This window comes from Homo sapiens, chromosome 10, assembly GCF_000001405.40.
Source record: "Homo sapiens chromosome 10, GRCh38.p14 Primary Assembly".
In the NCBI taxonomy this organism is placed as follows: domain Eukaryota; kingdom Metazoa; phylum Chordata; class Mammalia; order Primates; family Hominidae; genus Homo; species Homo sapiens.
This window is the reverse complement of record NC_000010.11, coordinates 127,996,057-128,017,032: the sequence shown is the minus strand read 5'-3', so window position 1 is coordinate 128,017,032 and position 20,976 is coordinate 127,996,057. Positions and strand designations below refer to the sequence as shown.

The window sequence follows — 20,976 nt, the reverse complement described above, 5'->3', positions numbered from 1 at the left end:
GACGAGGTCTGCCTTACACTTTCCAAGATGTGCCTCATCTTCCACCCACATTTCCTAAACTCTTCTAAGGTAAAGGAGGAGTGGGAGGGACCTCACAGGACCCCTGAGTATTTGGTCTGGGGCAGAGGGAGCCAAGGCCAGGGCGGCACCGGCTCCACAGCGGCCACAGGTCTCCCCGGCAGGAAGGCAGGAAGCTGCTGTGCCTCAGCCACGTTGGGCTAAACAAGGTGAGTCTGTTCCTCTCACCTGTGTGAAAAGGCAAGTCATACCAACAAATCCAAAACAGTAGCATGACTGGGGCCACTGGGTGGGCAGTGATTTGGTGGGATGAGACCTTTCTGGCTGTCCCTGTGGTCCCCTCTGAGCTGTGCCAACCTCCCAGGGACCGACACATCTCGGCCACCTGGGTGCTGTTCCCAGGCCACTGAACTGCCCTCTGCTCACCGCCGTCAGCCTGGCCCACGCTGTTCCCTGGACCCTGAGCTGTCTCCTCACCAGCCTGGGCAACATAGCAAGACTCCATCTCTAAAAAAGTAAAAAAAAAAAAAAAATTGGCCAGGCATAGTGGCACTGGTCTAAAAAAATAGACATGCTTTTAGAGTAGTTTTAGGTTCTCACCACATGGATGGCTGGTGGTGAAGGATGTTTCTCCACCTGGGGGCTGGGGGTGCCTGGTTAACATAAGAGTACAAATTTACTGTAACAGAAGCTGCAAATTGGGTCCCGCTGACTAAATGTGACCTGTATTACTGGGTTTGACCTGTTCTGTGTTTTGAAAGTTTTACATTTTTTGAAAAGCTGTAATTACATAGAGTTAAGTGCATGGGCCTTAAGCCTACGGTATGATGAGTTTGGGCAAATGTCTGCTGCAGACCCCCATATGGTCCATGCCCTGGTCCCCTGGAGGAACATCTGTCACTATCCTAGACACCTCCTTCTTGTCCCTTTTCAGTCTACCAAAAAGTCCCCTCCTGCAACCCCAGGAAGCCCACACCATTCTGATCTCCACCTCCAGAGAAGATGCCCTTGCCTGCCCTTGAGCTTCCTCTAAGTGGAAACACGCAGCTCGTGTCCTAAAGCTTCTCTAGTGCCACAGGCTTCAAGGCCCATCCGCTTTCTCATGGGCACCGCAGCCCATTCCTTTGGACTGCAGAACAGCATACAGTCATGTGATTGTGCTGCCATCTGCTCTCCAGCTCTCCCCTTTTATTTATTAGTTTTAGAGACAGGGTCTTGCTCTGTCCCCCAGGTTGCAGTGCAGTTGCAAGATCATAGCTCACTGTAACCTCGAATTCCAGGGCCCAAGTGAGTAGCTGGGACTACAGGCATGTGGCACCATACCTGGCCAATTTTTAATTATAAGATGAGCTCAGCTGGACGTGGTAGCTCACGTAATCCCAGCACTTTGGGAGGCTGAGGCGGGTGGATCACGAAGTCAGGAGATCAAGACCATCCTGGCTAACACGGTGAAACCCCATCTCTACTAAAAATACAAAAAATTAGCTAGGTGTGGTGGCGGGTGCCTGTAGTCCCAGCTACTCAGGAGGCTGAGGCAGGAGAATGGTGTGAACCCAGGAGGCGGAGCTTGCAGTGAGCCGAGATCACGCCACTGCACTTCAGCCTGGGCGACAGAGCGAGACTCCATCTCAAAAAAAAAAAAGAGGTCTTCCTATGTTGTCCAGGCTGGTCTTCAACTCCTGAGCTTAAGCGATTCTTCTGCCTTGACCTCCCAAAGTGCTGGGATTATAGGCGTGAGCCACGAGGCCCGGCCCCATTCTCCTCTTGATACACATTTGAGTTGTTTCAGTTAGTTTGCTCTTATAAACAAAGCTGCTATGAATGCTTGGGTACAGGTCTTTGCTATGAATGCTTGGGTACAGGTCTTTTTGTGGACACATTTCTTCATGTATTTGGGGTCAACAACCGTAAGTGGAATTTCTAGGTTGGAAGAGGAAGTATATATGTTTACAAAGGTTTTAAATTAGTTTGAAATATTTAGAATCAGAGGAGTCCACATGAAAGTCTGGAGATCTGTCTTCTCTCGGGAAGACCGGGTGTGGCATGCACTCTTGTGTGACCCTCTGGGCTGGTCCCTGAGCTTGCAGAGTGTCAGCATGGCCCCCACCCCATCCCATTCCCAGCCATGTCATCTCCACTGTCTCCTTCCTACCAGCCTGGGGCTGCAGTTCCACAAATGGACGCCCAGCCACAGGGTTTGGGTTTATAGTGGCTCGTCAAATGCAGAGGGCTCCGCTGACCACCCCCAGTGCCCTCACTGGGAGCGCCAACAAGCCAAGGTGAAGCTGGGGTTGAGACGGGGGATGGGGGATTGCTGATTTTTTTTCTTCCTGACTCAAAGCAACAACTTTTAGTAAATTCCAAGTGAAATGCTTCCTTTTCCAGGCCCCCACTATTCAAAGTTGTGGGAGAATTTTTAATTTGGTTCAGTCTTCCTTAATATGCTGCAGATACACAGATTTTAATCTTCTTTTATTAAAAATAAATCCGCCCTCCTCGCATGGGTCTCTTGTGTAAATATCTAATTAGGGCAAAAGCTTGGCCCAGCCCAACAGGGGTGTGTCAATGTCCCCCTCGATACACGCCGTTTGAAGGAAGAGACTTCAAAGAATTGCCCCCATCTTCTGAAGAATGTTAATTGGGCCAAACAATGTGCATGCATTATTTATAACTGCTCCTCCGGTTGTTTGGGAGAACATTTGACCCCAAATTGCAACTAAGGAGAGAACGCTCCATATTTTATAACTCAGAGAAGCTGCTTCACAACCTCCCTGGACACCCCAGCTGTGAGGGGACGCACCCTCTGCCAGTGCCTGGAGGGGACCTGTGGAGCTGGGGTCCCTGCCAAAGCCCTGGTCCTCATCAGACTTGTTAGGGTGGTGCATCTCCTGCTTTGCCAGCCAGTCTGGGACGGAGGATCAGAATCCTCATCTAGAACAGAGATGACCACGACCCAGAGAGGACAGGCAATTTGGCCTGAGGCACACTTCAAGAGAATGGCAGAGGTAGGGGCACATTGGGTCTTGTCTAATTCCGTGGTAGCCTCCTGCACGCACACATGCATGCATTCCACTACTTACTGGCACCTACTTGCATTCAAAGGTGAACACAACAAACACAGCCCTGCCTTCGGGAAACTCCCTCTACACACTGTCTTAGTCAGCCCAGCTGCCATAACAAAATATCTTAGACTGGGTAAACAACAGAAGCTCCTCACAGTTCTGAAAGCTGAGAAGTCCAGGATGAAGGTGCCAGCGGATGTGGTGTCTGGGGAGGGCCCTCTGCCTGTTCAAGACCTTTTTGCTGTGTCCTCAACAAATAGGTCCCCTGGAGCCTATTTTGTAAGGGCACTAATCCCATTCAAGAGGGCTCCACCTTCATGACCTAATCACCTCCCAAGGCCCCGCCTCCTCAACCCAGCACATTGGTGATCAGATTTCAGCATATAAATCTGGGGGGGGACACAGACATTCAGATCATAGCACATCCCTCCTCTGTCTACCATGTGACCGTTTAAAGGATTGCTTTTCTCAGCAGGTGCTGCCCCTTAAAGCTGCTGTCCATCAAACTCCTTTCTACTAGCAGCCCCCAGTGGCGCTCCAAGATAGGATTCTCCCTCCATTTCTAGATTATCCCAACAGGTTTCCTAACAGATCCCCCCAGCTATTTGTTTTGACCGCACACATTGAGAGCTGCAGGGCAACTTTATGTTTCCTCTACTCACGACTTCGGAGAACACTCTCTTTGCCACCCTCGACCCAGCTAACCGATGAGTTTCCATTTGGTAAGGCTACACACTTGAAGTAATACAGTTCCAGGGTTACGTTTTTCTTTACTGACACTCTGTTGGTAAACTACAGTCAACAGCATGTAATTATAGAAAATTATAATGCAGCACAGCAGTAACCCAAAAAGCTACCCTTTGGGAGTATTTTATTAAATAGACTCTTCTCTTTAATAGAAAATTCATGCCAATTTCATAACATGGCTTGCTCTCACAGTGGGAAGCACTACGGCGCTCATGAATTTTTAAAGAAATGCTGATTTTACTGACCAAGAGCCAGTAATAGAAATGTGTTTATTTGTTTAACAAATATTTACTGACTGTCTTCTGGATACAGAGCAGGGAAGGAGGCCTTGTTTAATTAACCAGATTCGACAACCTTGCTGCCTTCCAGGGATTTCTAGTCTAACTGGGAGACCACACTCCCCTGAAAAAGACTTCAGTGGGTTCAAGGTAGGGTTGTGGGGAGTGGCTGGTGCCAACCTTTTGAAAAATTACTGGAATCCTTGTATTTGACATAGGTGTCCTAGGTGCTGAATATGCCACCAGAGCTAGCCCCCACCTCTGCTCTTGTGAAGCTCCCAAGGACAGGAAATGATGCCTCGTCCATGCCTAGCAAGTAGCAGGTGCACCTTAATGACTCCTGAGCTGAGCAGAAACCCAGGCGTTCAACAGCACAGCTGTTAGGACAAAGCTGATGGCATGAGCCTCTCTCCCAAGGCTGGGTGGGTGCCTCGCTGCCATGGTGAGGAGCTTCATCTGGGGCTTCTCAGCAAAGCAAGGGTAGCAGGTGACACTGGATATTTACTAGCTCAGGCTCATGGGGAGGATGGGCCAGACCTCACAGGTGCAGGGCAAGGAGAAGTTTGGTTTATTGGCCAGGAAGTTGCTGGACTCTTGAGTGACCACAAGGTCAGATCTATCCTGGAGCATTTTATTGCCCTAAAATCACCCTTGAGTTGCAAAGGTGAGTTGCATTGGGAGGCTCCAGGAGGCGGCCAGCACTCTGAAAAGAGCCCCAACACAGGAGACAGGTGGACCTGGATTCACACCTGGGCTCACAATCTTGTCACTCTGAGCCAGGAGACAGGTGGACCTGGGTTCACACCCGGGCTCACAATCTTGTCACTCTGAGCCAGGAGACAGGTGGACCTGGGTTCACACCCAGGCTCACAATCTTGTCACTCTGAGCCAGGAGACAGGTGGACCTGGGTTCACACCTGGGCTGTCTATCTTGTCACCCTGGGCATGTCATCTGTCTCTTAGAGGTTTTTCCCTTCTCTGATCTTGGGACAGTTTCCGCCCTTAGGATGGGTGAGGACACAGGTGGACTCTCTGGCCCAGGTTCTGCTCTGAGCTGGTGGGAGGGGGACAGTGACAGCCACATTCCAGGTGTTTAGGCCACCGCCTGTGAACTGGCACGTGTGAGGCACCCACAGTTGCTGAGCTTGGCTGGGCACCAGCCATGGCACCCTCTTGGGGTGGAGGGGGGAGCCCCTAGGATGCTCACAGCCCAACAGGACAGATAGAGGAAGCATAGAGTGACAGGAGTGTCCTAAAAGGAATTTCTAGTGAAATGGTGTTATAACTTTGCATTTTATGGGCTCAACTTAGCACCTGAATTTGGAAGCATTAGGGATGGGGTCGGGCTACGGGGACGCTTCCGCGCATGCGCCAAGCTTGAAGCCCGGGTGCTATGCCAGAGGTGACCAGAAGGTGGCACCGTCGGGTAAGCCACAGGAACGTCTACCGCGCACCCGCCTGGTGCGCCCAGGCCACGCTCAGAACCTTCCTAACCCGCGCCTCCTCCGGGGTCCCCCAGTCACCTCAACCAGTATCCTTGCAGGATCACTCTAGAAACGTAACCACTTCACCAATGCCCAAACATTTGTTCTTAAATAGCTTTTCCTCTCCATTCACTCGCCGTGTTACAGTGATTAATTAGGAACTAGCATTCTAAGATTCATCTGAATTCCCAAAAGTCATCCTCACACCCATGTCCCAGCCTGGAATTTTACAATCTGTGGGTCTGTTATCTCTACCCCAGCCAAGAAATTTAACACCCAAATGGACTTTTCTTGCCTAGAATGACAGAGAGAATTACCCATTAAACCGCATGCCATGTTCAGGAAATTGGCTTTCTTCCCACGGAATCGATTCTTCCATAAATATTAAAATTAATTATTCTGGAGACTATAACTCAAAGTATGTACAAATGAAGTGTCATGCTTAGGACAGGGGTGGCAATTCAGGAAGACGGGTGGCTCCTGGGACACGAACCTTCTGCCTGCCTTCCGCTTAATGGATGGGTTACCAGCTGTTTAAGGAACCAGGGTTTAAGGCCGGGAGCAGTGGCTCACGCCTGTAATCCCAGCACTTTGGGAGGCCGAGGCAGGTGGATCACGAAGTCAGGAGATCAAGACCATCCTGGCTAACACGGTGAAACCCCATCTCGACTAAAAATACAAAAAATTAGCCGGGCGTGTCCGCGGGCACCTGTAGTCCCAGCTACTCAGGAGGCTGAGGCAGGAGAATGGTGTGAACCCGGGAGGCGGAGCTTGTAGTAAGCCAAGATCGCGCCACTGCCCTCACTGCCCTCCAGCCTGGGCGACAGAGCGAGACTCCATCTCAAAAGGAAAGAAAAGAAAAGAAAAGAAAAGAAAAGAAAAGAAAAGAAAAGAAAAGGAACAGGGTTTGACGGTTGTGGCTGGGGATCTAAAGTTGAGAGGAGAAGGAAGTAGGAGAGAGAAAAAGGCAGAGAGCACTGGGCTGGGAACCGCATGGTCTCTTCCCTGACCTGGTGGTGATGGGATCTGTGCCCCGGCAAAGGGAGGAGTTCTCATATTTCTCAGGCAAGAAAAAATTTCAATTCCCCAAGCCAAGCTATTCTCTGCTGTCTTTAGCAAAGGCTGGGCATACCTCAACCACCAGGCTTCAGAGTCCCTGGGCTCTGCCATTTTCTGTGTGTGGGCGCTCATGTACATTTGGCAACCTATAAAATGGGAAGTAATCTCTGGTGTGAGAACAGAGGGGCTACAAACCACCCCCACTCAGGTATCCAGGCTGGAAGGGCTGGGGACAAGTCGGCCTGGTTTACGGCCAGCAAAGGGCCTGGCACCCAGGGGCTGCCCAGAAGGACTTGAGGGATGAATAAGTGAGTGAGTGAATGAATGAATGAATGGCCCTCATCACTGTAAGATGTTCTATAAATAGGGTGACCACGTGCCCCTGTGAGTTCCAGACCATCTCAGCTCATGGTCATTGCTCAGTGCAATTATCAGTCTTGCCTGCTTTCTCTCATAAGGGTCAGGGCTTGGACGGTGACTCATATGTCCCCCTGACTCCTGGCCATGGAGGGGGGTGAGGCCACCACTCAGAAACAAGAGAGAAATGTTGTTGTCTTCATATGAAACGAGACTACAATTATGTGCTAAATAAATTTCCTCCATTTCATTGGTGATATTTAAACAATGAAGGAGCTGGGAAAGCCCAAGTTTTAAAACCTAAATGACTGAATTCTTTTCAGCATCTTTCAGGGCTGTCCTTTGCAGCACACGCACTGCAAAGAGCCTGGGCCACAAGTTCAGGACGACCCGAGCTCCAGTCCACCAGCCGTGTAGCTCTGGGCCAGCTCTTTCCGGCTCAGAGTAAAACAGGCACAATAGTGACCTCGCTGCACCTCGGGGGAAGCTCCACAGGGAAGAAGCATGCCCTTGGCACTGGCTGGCACACAGGGGGCCTTTGCAAATGTCAGCTCCGTGCCCTGAAGCAGAGACCAAGTCTCACAGAACCTGCCGCACCCTTCAGCTCTCCCCGAGTTGTTCACGAACACAAGAAAACATCCCTGATCTCTCAGGAATTAACAGAACATCAAGCTCACCTGCCGTTGATGTTTTACCCTTTTCTGGAATGTAAACAAACACTTTAAAATATGTTGGCTCAAAGGCAACCAAACGAGAAGGCAACAAAATCCATTTTATTTCTCTTATTATGCACTGACATTCCTGAGCAGGAGACGGAAATTTAAAGGGGACCCCAATTTTCAGTCCCAAAGATATGAACCTCCAGAATGTGCAGGCTGCTGGACAGTGAGACCCCTCCTGGATGCTGCAGCTCCCAGCTGCCAGGAGAAAAGGTGCTTCTGTGGCTTGCGGTGACAGCCAGCACCATGTTGGAGGTGACACTGTAGCTGGCCGGGCCTCCAGGACTGAGTTTCCAAGCAACCCCTGACTGACAAGGTGCACTCCTGGTAAGATTTGCAGGAAACAAAGTAACCCAGCCCCAGCCAGACCAGAGACTCCTCTCTCTGTCTCTCTGTCACTTCTGGGACTTAGCACTGGGCACTGAATTCATGCAGGTTTGTTGATTGACTGACTGGCTGCATTCATCAGTGACAGGAGGAGCAGGGGCCCTGGCAGGATGAGGACACAGGCTGGATGCCTGGAGGCTTTGGTGCATTTATTCAGCTGATGTGCTTCTGAGAAAGGGCTGGCAGCTCTGTGCCCCTGATCCTGCGTCTCCTACTTCTTACATCCTTGAGTCCTGGCCGGAATTACCACAGTAGATTCTGGGAAGACGTGACTTGCAGGAGTTGAGAAAGACCAGGTGTGTCGGGCTCCTTCCCATACCAAAAGCAAAGGCGGGATGCTCCACTAGCCCAGGCTGGCTGTCTCCCAGGAAATACCACCCCCAACTCCAGAGTCCCCTGACCTACTAGAATAAAGGGGATATTGATCAACTGGGTTTAGAAACCCGGGACTGGCTGTTTGACATTATCCCTGGCTACTGAAACTTTTGCTAAGCATCTCTAGGATTTCTCTCCTTGATGGGAGGCTTTTTCAGGTCCAGAGAGAGCTTGGCATCCCAGGGACTTTATCTCACCTTCCAGAAGCTCCAGGAGGAGGCCAGAGGTGCAGTGTGAATGCCCTGAGGCTGCAAAGGCACCTGGAGGGAGGGAGGGAGGGAATGAGGGAGAGAGGGAGGGAGGGTGAAAGGGAGGGAGGGAGGCGAGGGCGGACGAGCCAGCGGGGCTGCAGACAGAGATGGTGGATGCACTGTTTCCCTTGGGCAGTTTTCCCAGGGGCATGTACCCTGGGCAGGGGACTCTGCAGACAGGCACACGTGGCGTGGTGCCTCCTGTGCCTCCCCAGTGGTGAGAGATGCCTTCTTCCTGGAGGAAGCTGACTACCAGCCCCAGTGCAACCCCTGTAAGCAGCAGGTGTGATGAGAAGCTCGGGGTTCCATCCCTAAGTCAGTATTGGGATGTAGGAGGGTTTATCAATGTAGGAACAAGGTGTGTGAGGCAGAAGGTGCCCTCTTATTTCAGAGACAATCATGTACAGAAGCCGAGCAAGTTGCACAGATGAGCAAAAGTCAAGATGCGGATGCTGATCAGGGCATGATGTCTTCATGGCGCTTTCTCTACAGAACACATCTGATCCCAAAGCAGCTCTCTGAGACAGTACAAGACTCTCATGGTGCCTGCCTTCCAGCTGTGCACACTGAGGATCAGAGAGGTTAAGTAATCTGCCTAAGGCTTCTCAGCTGGTAAAACGGCAGAGCCTGAATTCAAATCCCAGCAGTGTGAAAGCAACCAGACTTCAGAAACCCACATCTCCAGGGTCATAGCTCATAAGACGTGGGAATTATTCTGAAACATTGTAAGATTTTATCGGGACAAGTATGGGAAGCTCTATTGAAACAGACAAACATCCCCTTTCAGGATAAATGGACACACATTTTGTAAATTCCAGAAATCCATTGGAAATATTTACTTTAACTCCTCCCCCTACCCAAATAATATCCATGGATTATTTTGGCACTAACAGAGGTTAATACTGTGTGGTTTGTGGATTCTAAACATCTCCACTCAGAACTTAATTTTAATTCTGGCCTACCTGGAAAAACCCTTGCGTCATTAAAATAAGTGCTTCATAAATATTTGTTCAAGGAGTGAATGAACTAGCCAAAAGGTTTATGAAAAAAGGTTGGAGTTGAGCAGTATTTTTCCCCCACCCAGGTCTCTATAAACACTCAGCCACATCCCCTCAAATATTTATCAATGTAGAGCCACAGAATTGTATGTCTTTTGAGAGAGAACCCCTTGCTTGGTTACTTAAAAAAAAGAGAGAGAGAGAAACCTCAAAATAAATATATGTCACAATCTTCTAGAAAATCAGGTAATGGGAAAATAGGAAATAGGCAGTGAGAGTTTGAGTTTATTCAATTGTGCTTAGCAATGTTCAGGTCAAATAAGAGTTGACCTGACTAGGAGCCGTGGAGTTGTACTTGAGCTGTATCAAACTCTGGTGTCGTTTTTGAGCAAAGAGTATCATTTTATTTGAAATTCAGTGACAATGGGGAGGTTGGAAGGAGGAGAGAGAATACTTTATGGCAGAGCCATGACAGAAATACTTTTCTTCTGGTATAAAAGAGTCTTTTGTGGGACTTGACACCATCTCTGGGGTGCAGGAAAGGCCCCTTCATTCACCCGGACTATGTTTTCTCTATTCTTTTATCCCCCCAAATGTTTATGGGTCTCCTTGCTGCTGTACCCCAGGTCTGGCAGAGTCAGGCAAACAAAGACAAAAACATGATCCCTGAACTCAGACGTCTTCCAGCTCCACGTGGTGAAGTTTGCAATAAAGACGGAACTCTGTATCAACATAGCGTAAGTATAGTTTGATCTCTCATTTTTAGTTGGAAGCCAAGTAAAACACAATTTAGCAAGCATGAAAGACTATAAACCTCCTGGACTCTATTTAGTTCAGACAGGAAACAGACCTAAATTAAGCAATGATTTTCAAGTCAACGTTAAGTACCTGAGAGGCACCTACAAGTTGATTAGGTGATTAGGCGTACAATTCCTGTGCTCAGGTTGAACCTTGTCTGTGAAAATCTGCTTCCCCGCTCTTCTGTGAAATACCCAGGGACCCTGATGGTGCCAATGCCAATTTAGGTCAGAACTTCAGAGTGAAAGTGGATGCACCAGGTTGGTTTTGGGAAACTCAGTGGTGTCAGTCATGCCTCAAGACCTTCAGTGGGAATGGGTCATCAGCCAGCTGCAAACAATGCAGTACTGGGGGTTGACAGTGTCCCCCAAATTCATGACCATCTGGAACCTCAGAATGTGACCTTATTTAGAAATAGGGTCATTGCAGATGTAGTTAGTTAAGATGAGGTCATCATGGATTAGGGTGGACCCTAATCCAATGACTGGTGTCTTTATAAGAAGAGGAGGTGGCACACACATGTATACTGAGAGGAAGGCCACATGAAGATGGAGGTGGAAGCTGGAGGGAGGCAACCACAAGCTGGGGAATGCCAGGGACTGCGGGACCCAATGGACTCTGGAGGAGGGAAGGAAGAATCCCTCCCAGAGCCTTGAAAGGGAGCACAGCCCTGCCGACGCCTTGGCTTCAGACTTGCAGCCTCCGGAACTGCGGGACCACACACCTCTATTGTTTTAGCCATTACATTTCCAGTAAACTGCTGGCTTATGGCCGGCCTGCCCAGCGTCCTCCCTCTGCCCCACATCCCATCACCAGACTGAGGGTCCTTGGGCATCCCCCATCTGTCACCTGCTCGGGGACGCCCAGAGGTGTCCAGCAGCAGTTCTCACACTCTGCTATTCTCTTAGCACCCTCACAAGCCTTATCATATCACTCACCCATTTTTTCAGACATCAAATACATTATGTTAAAACTCTTTGTCATTAGTATAAATAGGAGGCCGAGTATCACCAGTGAAGATGGGGAAGACAGACTATGAATTTCCTGGCTGGCCCTGTGTAAGGCTCTTGGGTTAGAGCCTGTTCTCTCTTTGTGAAAAAGGTAGATGAGCAAGGATTGAATGGGTGTTAAGGCCACACCAGCACCAAGCTGAGCCTTTCTCTCTGGGTATACGGAAGGGTGGAAGAGAACGAAGAGAGGAAGGAGTCTTTCCCTTTATGATGCAATGTTTTTCATCACTATGCTCAGTCTCTGTCTAGAATCATCTCAGGACTTTTGTGCATCAGAAGACAGCGTCAGCAAAGTGAAAAGATGACCTACAGAATGTGAAAACGTATTTTCAAATGATTTATGTCGTAAGGACGTAGTAGCCAGAATGCATAAAGTACTCTTACAACTCAACAACAAAAAGACAAATAAACCCAAAAAACAGGCCAAGGACTTGAATAGACGCTTCTCCAAAGAAGTCATTCAAACAGCCAGAAAGTGCATGAAAAGATGCCCACCATCACTATTCATTAAAGAAATGCAAACCCAAACCATAATCACACTCCACTTCACATCTCTTAGGATGGCTATAATTTAGAAAAAAATAAAAGGAAGCCCAGTGTTGGCACGGATGTAGAAGAATTAGAACCCCCAGACATTGCTGGTAAGAATTCAAATGGTGCAGCCACCACGGAAAGATTTAATGGTTCCTCAAAATTTAACCATAAAATGATGTTTAAATTCCACTCCTAGGTATATATCCAAAAGAACTGAAAATGTGTTCAAAGAAAAACTCATCCATGATTATCGTAATAGCACATAATTCATCATAGCCAAAAGGCAGAAACTAACCTAAGTTCATCCACTGATGAATGAGTAAACAAAACACAGTAACTCAATGAGATATGATTCAGCCTAAAAAGGAATGAAATATTGATACATGCTACCGAACAGGTGAACCTCAAAACAAATGCTACATGAAAGAAACCAGACACAAAAGGTCCCATACTGGATGGTTATGGAAAATATCCAGAATATGTAAATCAATACAGATGGACAGCTGATTGGCGGTTGCCAGCATGGGAGAAGGGGGAAATGGAGATTGATTGCTTAGTGGGTTCAGGTTTCATTTTGGATGATGAAAATATGTTGTATCTAAGTAGAGGTGATGGCTGCCCAACACTGTGAATGTACAAAACGGTGAATTTTATGTTATGTGAATTTTACCTCAATAAAGATAAATCACCCCAGGACCAACATGTACTGCGCTTTGGGATGAAGGGCACCCTCCTCAGCCTGGCATCCAAGATCCCCATGGAGAATGACTCTTGAAAGATGATCATAAGGGTAGTATCATCGTTATTAACACCTAACATTTGTTGCACGCAGCACATTTTGCCCTTTCTAAGTGCTTCACATCATTGACCCATTTAATCCCCCCAACAATAAGAGGTTAGGACCATTATCACCTTCATTTTACAGAGAAGGAAACTGAGGCACCCACTCATGTGTAAATTGTCCTACAGCTAAGTAGATGACATGGCTTCCTCTCTGTGGTCCTGGCAGACGCGCTGGGGTGGGAATGGGTGGGGTGTTGCCAATGGGGTGATATAAATGGGAGCATCCGAATGGGCATCCATGAGGCCCCTGCAAAGGCTTCCAATTGCTAAACTTTGTTCCTTTCTGTATTAATCATTTCTCTTGATTAAACACTAGTCCTACAGTCTGCGGGCCCCATTGTGCTAAATTACATGGTGAGCATGTATTGCAAATTACACTCATTATTAGAAGTTGCACGGCAACATTTATACTAATTAAGTTGGGGCGCATTTCTTTAGTTCTAATTTTAAAACACTGGCAGAATTCCAGAGCCTGATGTCCGCGCGTGAACTGCCACAAATGCATGGTGCAAAATGTCCTCTGAATTTTCTAGCTATTCAGGATTATTTCACACTTAAAAACTGTTTATGGATATTATTATGCTACTTTCTTTTTTTTCTTTTTCCTTTTTGTTAAACAGTATCACCAGGATGAATGTAACAGAGTATAGTTTCAAAGTAAGAGTTAGACAGCATGATTCTAAAAGAATCAACAGTGCTAATATTTTTAATGTATTGGAAAACATTTTTTAACATCTCTTTTCCCAAAGTACAGCTGACTTAAATTTTTTTTTCCCAGTGAAATAAAAAATGACAACCACCCAGTGTGATTAGGAGAACACAGAGAGGGAAACAGCCGCAACAGCAGCAGCTACACTCTATGGGGCCCACTCACGTGCAGGCGTGTGCTGAGTGGTTTATAAGAATCATCTCAGCTATGTCTCTCATCACCAATGAGGAGGATACTACCTTACAGCAGTCAAGTCACCTCCCGAGGTCAGGAAGGAAGTGACAAGCCAGGATTTGAACCCAGTGTCTGAGCCACAGCCCACTCTGCTCTTCAGGACTGTAAATGGTCTATCTGTGCATGCATATCTGCAGAGGCACAAAACCCAACATCCATAAGACATATGACTCCCAGGCCAGGCACAGTGGCTCATGCCTGTAATCCCAGCATCTTGGGAAGCCAAGGCAGGGGGATCACTTGAGCCAGGAGTTCAAGACTCGCCTGGGTGACAAAGTGAGACCCCATCTTTACAAAAAATAAAAATAATTAGTCCGGTATGGTGGTGCACGCCTGTGGTCCCAGCTACTTGAGAGGCTGAGGTGGGAAGACTGCTTAAGCCCAGGAGGTCAAGAGCCGTGATCGCACCACTGCACTCCAGCCTGGGTAACATAGCAAGACCCTGTCTCAAAAAAAAAAAAAAAAAAAAAAAAAAAAAAAAAAAAAGATATGTGACTCCCAAACACTGCAAAGACAATTGACATTGCATCATTCATCAGATCATTTTCAGCCATTCAGACATGGCTGCCTGAGCCTGCGCCATGTGCCACGCAGGGCTCCAGCAGCCAGGAGCAGGCCCTGGCCCTTCCTGTATCCATCCTTCTGGTATCACTGACTTTTCCTGCCTACCTACGCACTGCTGCATCTTCCTTCCTTGGCACCTGTTCTGATTGGTAGGGCCCCTGGAATTAGATAGAGGGTGCTCCCCACTACTGACTTCCTCCTGAACAGCAGTGTCTTCCCTGCCCCCTCCCTAGGCAGCTCCCCTGCAAATGACCACCTTTATACAAACTCCCCGGAAATAATTTTGTCCTTGCCCACTTCCTCCTGATGGCCTTGTTCCCCCTCGATGCCCGCAGCACCCTGAGGTCACAGCAGAAATAAACAGGCAGGAGCAGTCCAGGGTCAGCTGAATATGCACATACTCATGCTGACAGCTTTGCTCTTCCCTCCACAGACACATAGGCTCTGGCTGTCAGCGGGGGCGACGGCTGAGACCGTGGCTGCCCCGGAGGTCCCCACAACTGGGGCTCACAGTCCTGCCTCGGCACGGCCTGGATCTGTGCTCCCGAGGCAGTGGCTGTGCTCTACCAAGTACGAGCAGAGCCAGCGACAGAACAGCCCTCCAGCCTGCAGAGATCAGGCGAGAGGCAACACTGCCATCTCCCCTGCTGCTGCCAAAGGGTCATGGGGTTTACTGATGAGGGACGGGAGAGAGGAGAAACCAGGTGAGCCCACAGCCTTCTCAACCCATAGGGCCCCGGTGATGTTTCCAGTGCCCCTTACTCCAGATGACAGCGTGCTTTCTTACGTTTGCCCAGCTAACATGTGGCTGGTTTCCACAGCATCCTGGTTTCCGCAGCTCCTAATACTAAGAACCTTCCCATACGTTATCTCCCAGAACATGTCATCATCCCATGGCAGACCCCTAGGTCAGAAAAGCGAGGGCATAATCCTTAATTTGCCTCTATGAGGAGTTTCCTCCAGGAACAGGGGACCTGAGCAGCTGCCAGCCCCTGCCTGTGCACTGTACTGGGGGTCGGCCTGGGGTTTTGAAGTAGGAGGCACTCTTGGGGACGAGGGCAGGCCACTGAACCACACAGCAGCACTGAACAGCCCCGAAGAAGCAATTCCGGGGGTGGAAGGATTTAAATTTCCATTAAAATGGGGGTCTGACAAAATGTCCACAATCCCCCAGTGCGTGACTGGGATAAAATACTATGCAAGGAAAGTTCCGGCGCCCTAGCCGTGCCTACACTTTACTTACTATCAGCCTTTCTCCAGCACACTGACACCAAGTGCTCAGTGTGAAAGCAGATCCAAAGCTGAAGACTTCCTGAGAACTTCCCACTTCTATAAATGCATTCCTTCCCTGGTTTCCATGTGATGTCCCACACATAGTACACACACACACATGCACACACACACACACTCAGATCTCTCTGCACACAGAGTAACTGGGATGGAACATAAGTTGATTAGAAGGTAATGGAAGCCCTTTCACATTACAGGTAAAACGTGATTAGTTGTTTTAGCCTAGTTTCTCTAATATGAAATAGCCAAATATTCTCTCTTAGTGTGAACAAAATACAGCAAATGTTGAGAGTGAACTGTAGCCACTCATGATGGTACATGCAGAGTTCAGATTTATAAAGACTCTCCTACTATCCATGACTCTGAATGGAGAGAGCACGGCCCTGGAGTGGTAGCTTCCTGTCCAAGGGCACGGTCACCTACTGAGACATGAGGTGTCTGAACACTGCTGAGCCCTTCTGGGCAGTTGCCCAAGTGAGTGAGGCTTGGTGGAATTCTTACAGTGCCAGGGACGACTCTTCCTCTGAGTGCAGTGCAAGAGCTTGTAGGGCCTCCTTCACTTTGTAGGAAAGAAACCAAGGTTCAGGGATAAACTGATTTAAACGAAGTACCACATAGAATGAAATCTAATATTTATTCTCAGCAGGAAGTCTGTTCTCATCATAAGTATCAAAACCAATTCATAGGTGAGCTATAATATATCTGAGCTTACCCACATGGGAGCATTAGCAATTTAAAAACAATTTGAGCATTTATCAAATATACAGTCTCTGAGAACTTGGGCTATTCATTCACTAGGATATGGTCTTAAACTATAAGCAGTATGCTTCTAAAAAAAGAGAGAGAGAGAAAAGAAACGCAGCTAGAGAAAATCTCCCCTCCAATTTTGTGTTGTGACATTTCAAATCATTGGTTAGTCAGCTTCCATATAAAATATTTCCCAAAATGAATCTAACATTTTCATGTTAGTTGAAGGGTGCGGGTCCAAAATTCTAAGGGTGTTCTGTTTGCTTAAAGAAAATTTAGCTCTTTTATTTTAGGTGAAAGAGGGATTACTTATACGTTAAGTATCAATTTAATGAAGACATAAAACAGGCAGAAAATCATTTGAACCAAACTGTTACCCCACCAACTAATGGATGTTACATTTTAGAAACCGGGAGAGAGGCTCAAGCAGAGTTGACAAGGAATAGAACTGCTGTGACATTCCTAAATTATCAACCAGTAACAACATTTAATACTAAGTTAAAGACTCATGGAAAATGCATTTTTTCCTCACAATCTAAACCAGCAACAGAAGGAACATTCTGGGGATCCCTTTCCGCGTCTGCGCTGTGCATCCATGGATACTTACAGAGCACCGCGTTCTCAGTAGCCCCTAGGTGATCAATTCGTTCAGACCCATGTCCACAGCACTGGAGTCTCCTGGGCTGATAATTTGAACATTTCCAAGCAGGCTACTGATGCGAAAGGCAATACATCATTTACTGAGTATTCCCTTTGTAATTTTCCTTCTGAGGCTCGCGGCTGCCGGCACTCACACTATGTCACCAGAAACCAGAGCAAAGATCCAGCAGGGAGAAATTTACAGGAGAGACCGCTCATCTCGAGTTGAAATAAATGCTTAAAAATAAATGTATAATTCACAGCAGCAGAGTGAATTTGTTTTAAGTTCATAATCAGTCAGTAAGAAAGGCGGCATATAATCCAGTGTAGCTGCTGAGAACAGTGCAACCTGCGTGCTCGATGGTGCAGTCAGCAGTCCCAGCTGGGTAAGCAGAATGCTTCTGTGCACTGAGCTCGGAGAGGAACAGAAGGCGAGAGCGCCCTGCTCCCAGGACGAGTTGGATTCACAGCCCACAGGGAGGAAGAAAGGACAACGAGCAATGTCGATCATGATTCCCCCCGTGGTTCACATTTAGTTCTAAAATAAAAGTCATTGCTGATGATACACTTTCCGAGGATCCTTGCAAAGCAAAACTAAATTGAACTACAACATGAAGTGAAGAAAACACAAAAGGGCTCTTGAGCACATGTATGGTTAGTGCCTTTCTGCAAACACAGCCTAGGGCTTCTTTTTAATTGTAGTAACAACATTTAACATGAGATTTACCTTTTAACAAAAAAGTGTACAACACAGTCTCGGTGACTTTAGGCATGATGTGGCACAGCAGAGCTCTCGGACTTGTCCATTTCTTGTAACTGAAACTTTAAACCCGTTGAACACCAAATTCCCATTTCCTCCTCTCTCAGCGTAAAGAACAATGCTATTTCAGGCACGATGCTGCTTTGAAGAAATACCTTCTCATATCAAAGATCTCTTTGCCCCCTTCTACAGCACTTCCTAAAACAAAAAGGGAAATGGACCCTCAAGGTCTACTCTGTTCTGTTATCTGAAAAACTGAGGCTCCTGCAGCTGCCCAGCCTCACCAAGTTCTCCTTCTCTATGACAAAGGGGAATATTTTTTCACATAGCTTCTTTTTTTTTCACATTGTATGGGTTGACCAGTCTCCCTGGGAATACGGCGACTTCATAAAGAAGTGCCCTTCCCAGTGGCGCGGTCGTTAGTGCAGGTCTTACAAAGGTGCACCAGTAGCTCCAACACAATTTTGAGTCTTTCAGAAGGAACAGGGACGTAAACGCACCAACGCAGCACGTCATGTCGGGAGGATGGTTTGCTGCCACGTCTTTTCTTATGTGCAGCGCCAGGCACTCACTTTCATTCATCCCAAGAATTTGATGCGAAGTACTGTTTACAGAGCACTTTCTATGTGCCAAGGACTGTGCTAGACACTTATATACTCCATTTCATTCAATTCACTATTATTTCTGCCTCCCATAAAGAAAAAATCCAGACAGAAATGGAAAGCCTTTAAAAGATGGAGGCATAGATCGACAGCATTCCCAGAGATGTGTTCTGCGTGGCAAAGACAGTGACCAGGCTTTCACAGCGACTGGAATAGCAGCCTGGGTGGCATGCCCTTGCTACTTCAGCCTCAGCTTCCCCAGTCGCTGCTTTGCTTTCTTTGGTGACTTCGATGATGACGTTAAGTTGTCTGCAAATCCATTTATTTTCTGAAAACTCCCCGTCTCGTTCATTTTCTGTTGATAAGGAATTTCTGAAACAATCATTGAAAACCATCTCTACTGCAGACAGCCAGCGCTACTGACTGCAACAGGATTTGAGATCTCTTTTATTCCCAAAGGGGGCCATTATTTCCACTGGTTGTCATGGTGATGGTGCAGTATTGCTGCTGTGTGTTCGACTGCTTCCCATTGCAGTCACACCACACACTTAAATCAAATCCTGTGTTTCACATGGTACTGGCTATATAAAACTTAGTGAATCGAACTCTTAGCTTCATCTCACAGTGATGACGAATGGGGACAGATGGAAGTGTCCGTGTCTGCTGGTGTAAATGTGACGGAAGCAGCAGGACTTCAAAACAGAAAGATCATCTTAAAATACATTAATTTACTCTCCTTCACTGAGCAATTTAAGGACAGAATTCGTATTATTATCAATAACTTGAGAAATGGTTTTGAAAAAGCAGAAGTAATATGCCTAGAAATGAGAAACTATATTTTTTTGTTGTTAGTTCACATTCATTTGAACTTTTGCCATATTCATTTTTGAATATGCTTTGTTCTCCTATTTGTATATCTCCTTTCTTGTCTCTTATTTGTAACTAGTACACATAGCCACAAATACATGTACATGTACTTATATTAATTCCTAAGGTCTCCGATTTGTGAACTCTGGCTTTAAAATATACATGAATGTTAGGATTCTGCTTTTCAGTCTTCAGTGCCCTGGCTTCCTGAAGGATGTACTATTCAAGTGCTGAACTGAACTTGAACTCCACGACGCTGGTCCTCTGAGGCTGCAGCCCCTGAGTCCAGGTTGGGGGAGGATGTTGATGCCTCACAGCCAGCAGCAGCAGAGGGACTTGGGAGATTACCTTGAACATGGAGTCCCCTTTGGAGCATGTGGACGCCATAACTTTTCCTTGTGGGCAAACTCAGAGTTTACCTGGGTGTTCAGGGCCAGTTAGTGGTCAGCTGTCTTTAGCTTTCATTATAAATGCTCTTAAGAGCTGGGTTTGATTCCCGGGAAAAGCATTGATCAAAAGGGGAGAAATAATCTGGATTGTACTTCAGAGGCTGCTGTTTGAAAAAGACAGGTGATTTATGGGAGCCAAACTTCAAGGAAATGTTAAATCTAAGTTCGGCCCAAATTCATTAAGTTAACCTGATTTTGACTGTTGCACTGTGTTCTTTTTTTTTCTATTTGTTTTTTGCTTTGCATGTTTTAATTTCTTCTTTTTCTTTCTTTCTTTGTTTTGCCATGACACTGTAAGATTGGCCTGGTTTGAGGCTGAGAAGGTTTGTTGTTTCTGAATTAAAAAGAAAACTCTTTCCACATAGGAAAGAATGTTGTGGGGCCTCCAAAACTCAGGCTGCCACAATGAACAGACATGCTTCTTACACACCCACTTCAAAAAGAAATGAGAGTTGCAACATTCACAGGAACTCCCAACAGCCGGGACATGATGGCCCTGCTTCTGTGAACTCGGAGCCTGCGTGTGCCTGGATCCAGCCATTGGTGCACCTCTCAGCCTCCTCCTTCATTGGAAAGAAGAGTTTTCATGAGCTCAGCTGCTGACATGAAACAAGGCTGGAGGCTGAAGCCGAATGCCGGGAGGCATACTAGCTGGATGGGAAGGGGCTGGCATGGGTTCCAGTGAGGTGCCACAGTCATAAAAACTGGGGAAGCTGCAGGGGCATACATTCTGAAGGGGAGTCTCAGGTTGGAGGTTTTACTGTAAGGAATGAGCAATTTGAATCAACTTTAACAGGGCATGTACACAGTATGATTCTGGAAAAATGGCACCACTGCCTTCTTTCTCACCCTGTTTGCTGGTGTGCAACACGCAACCACTCACGTCCCAAACCCTCTCTTAGGTGTTTATTTCTATGGTGGAAAGCGATTTTGACGGGCCAGCTTTCGAGATCTTCCTTGTAATCTACTATTGCCTGAATGGGCATCTTTAGCCCTTTAAACTGCCTTTGGTGAAACATAGGTAAAGTTACGTGTTGCCAAGCAACGGAAGCTTCTGACATTGCATGTCCTTCTTAGAGAAGCTCTCTCCCTTCCAAATAATTAGACATCAGTCACTACTCCACGTCCACACTGGGAATAACACAGAGGACTCAACATCATCCTGAAATGAAAAGTGAATCACACTGATTCCTGG

At 47.2% G+C, this 20,976-nt stretch overlaps 1 protein-coding gene across 16 annotated transcripts in view; it reads right to left on the bottom strand.

Moving 5' to 3' along the window:
* Positions 1-20,976, bottom strand: part of PTPRE (protein tyrosine phosphatase receptor type E) — a 178,753-nt gene that overhangs the window by 68,823 nt on the left and 88,954 nt on the right. Inside the window, exon 1 of one of the 16 annotated variants that reach the window (NM_001323354.2) lies at positions 17,072-18,886. The exons of the other annotated variants lie outside the window; for them this stretch is intronic. The gene's annotated coding sequence lies outside the window, so the exon portion shown is untranslated. Of the gene's footprint in view, positions 1-17,071; positions 18,887-20,976 lie in introns of those variants that run through there. 16 annotated transcript variants of the gene reach the window in all.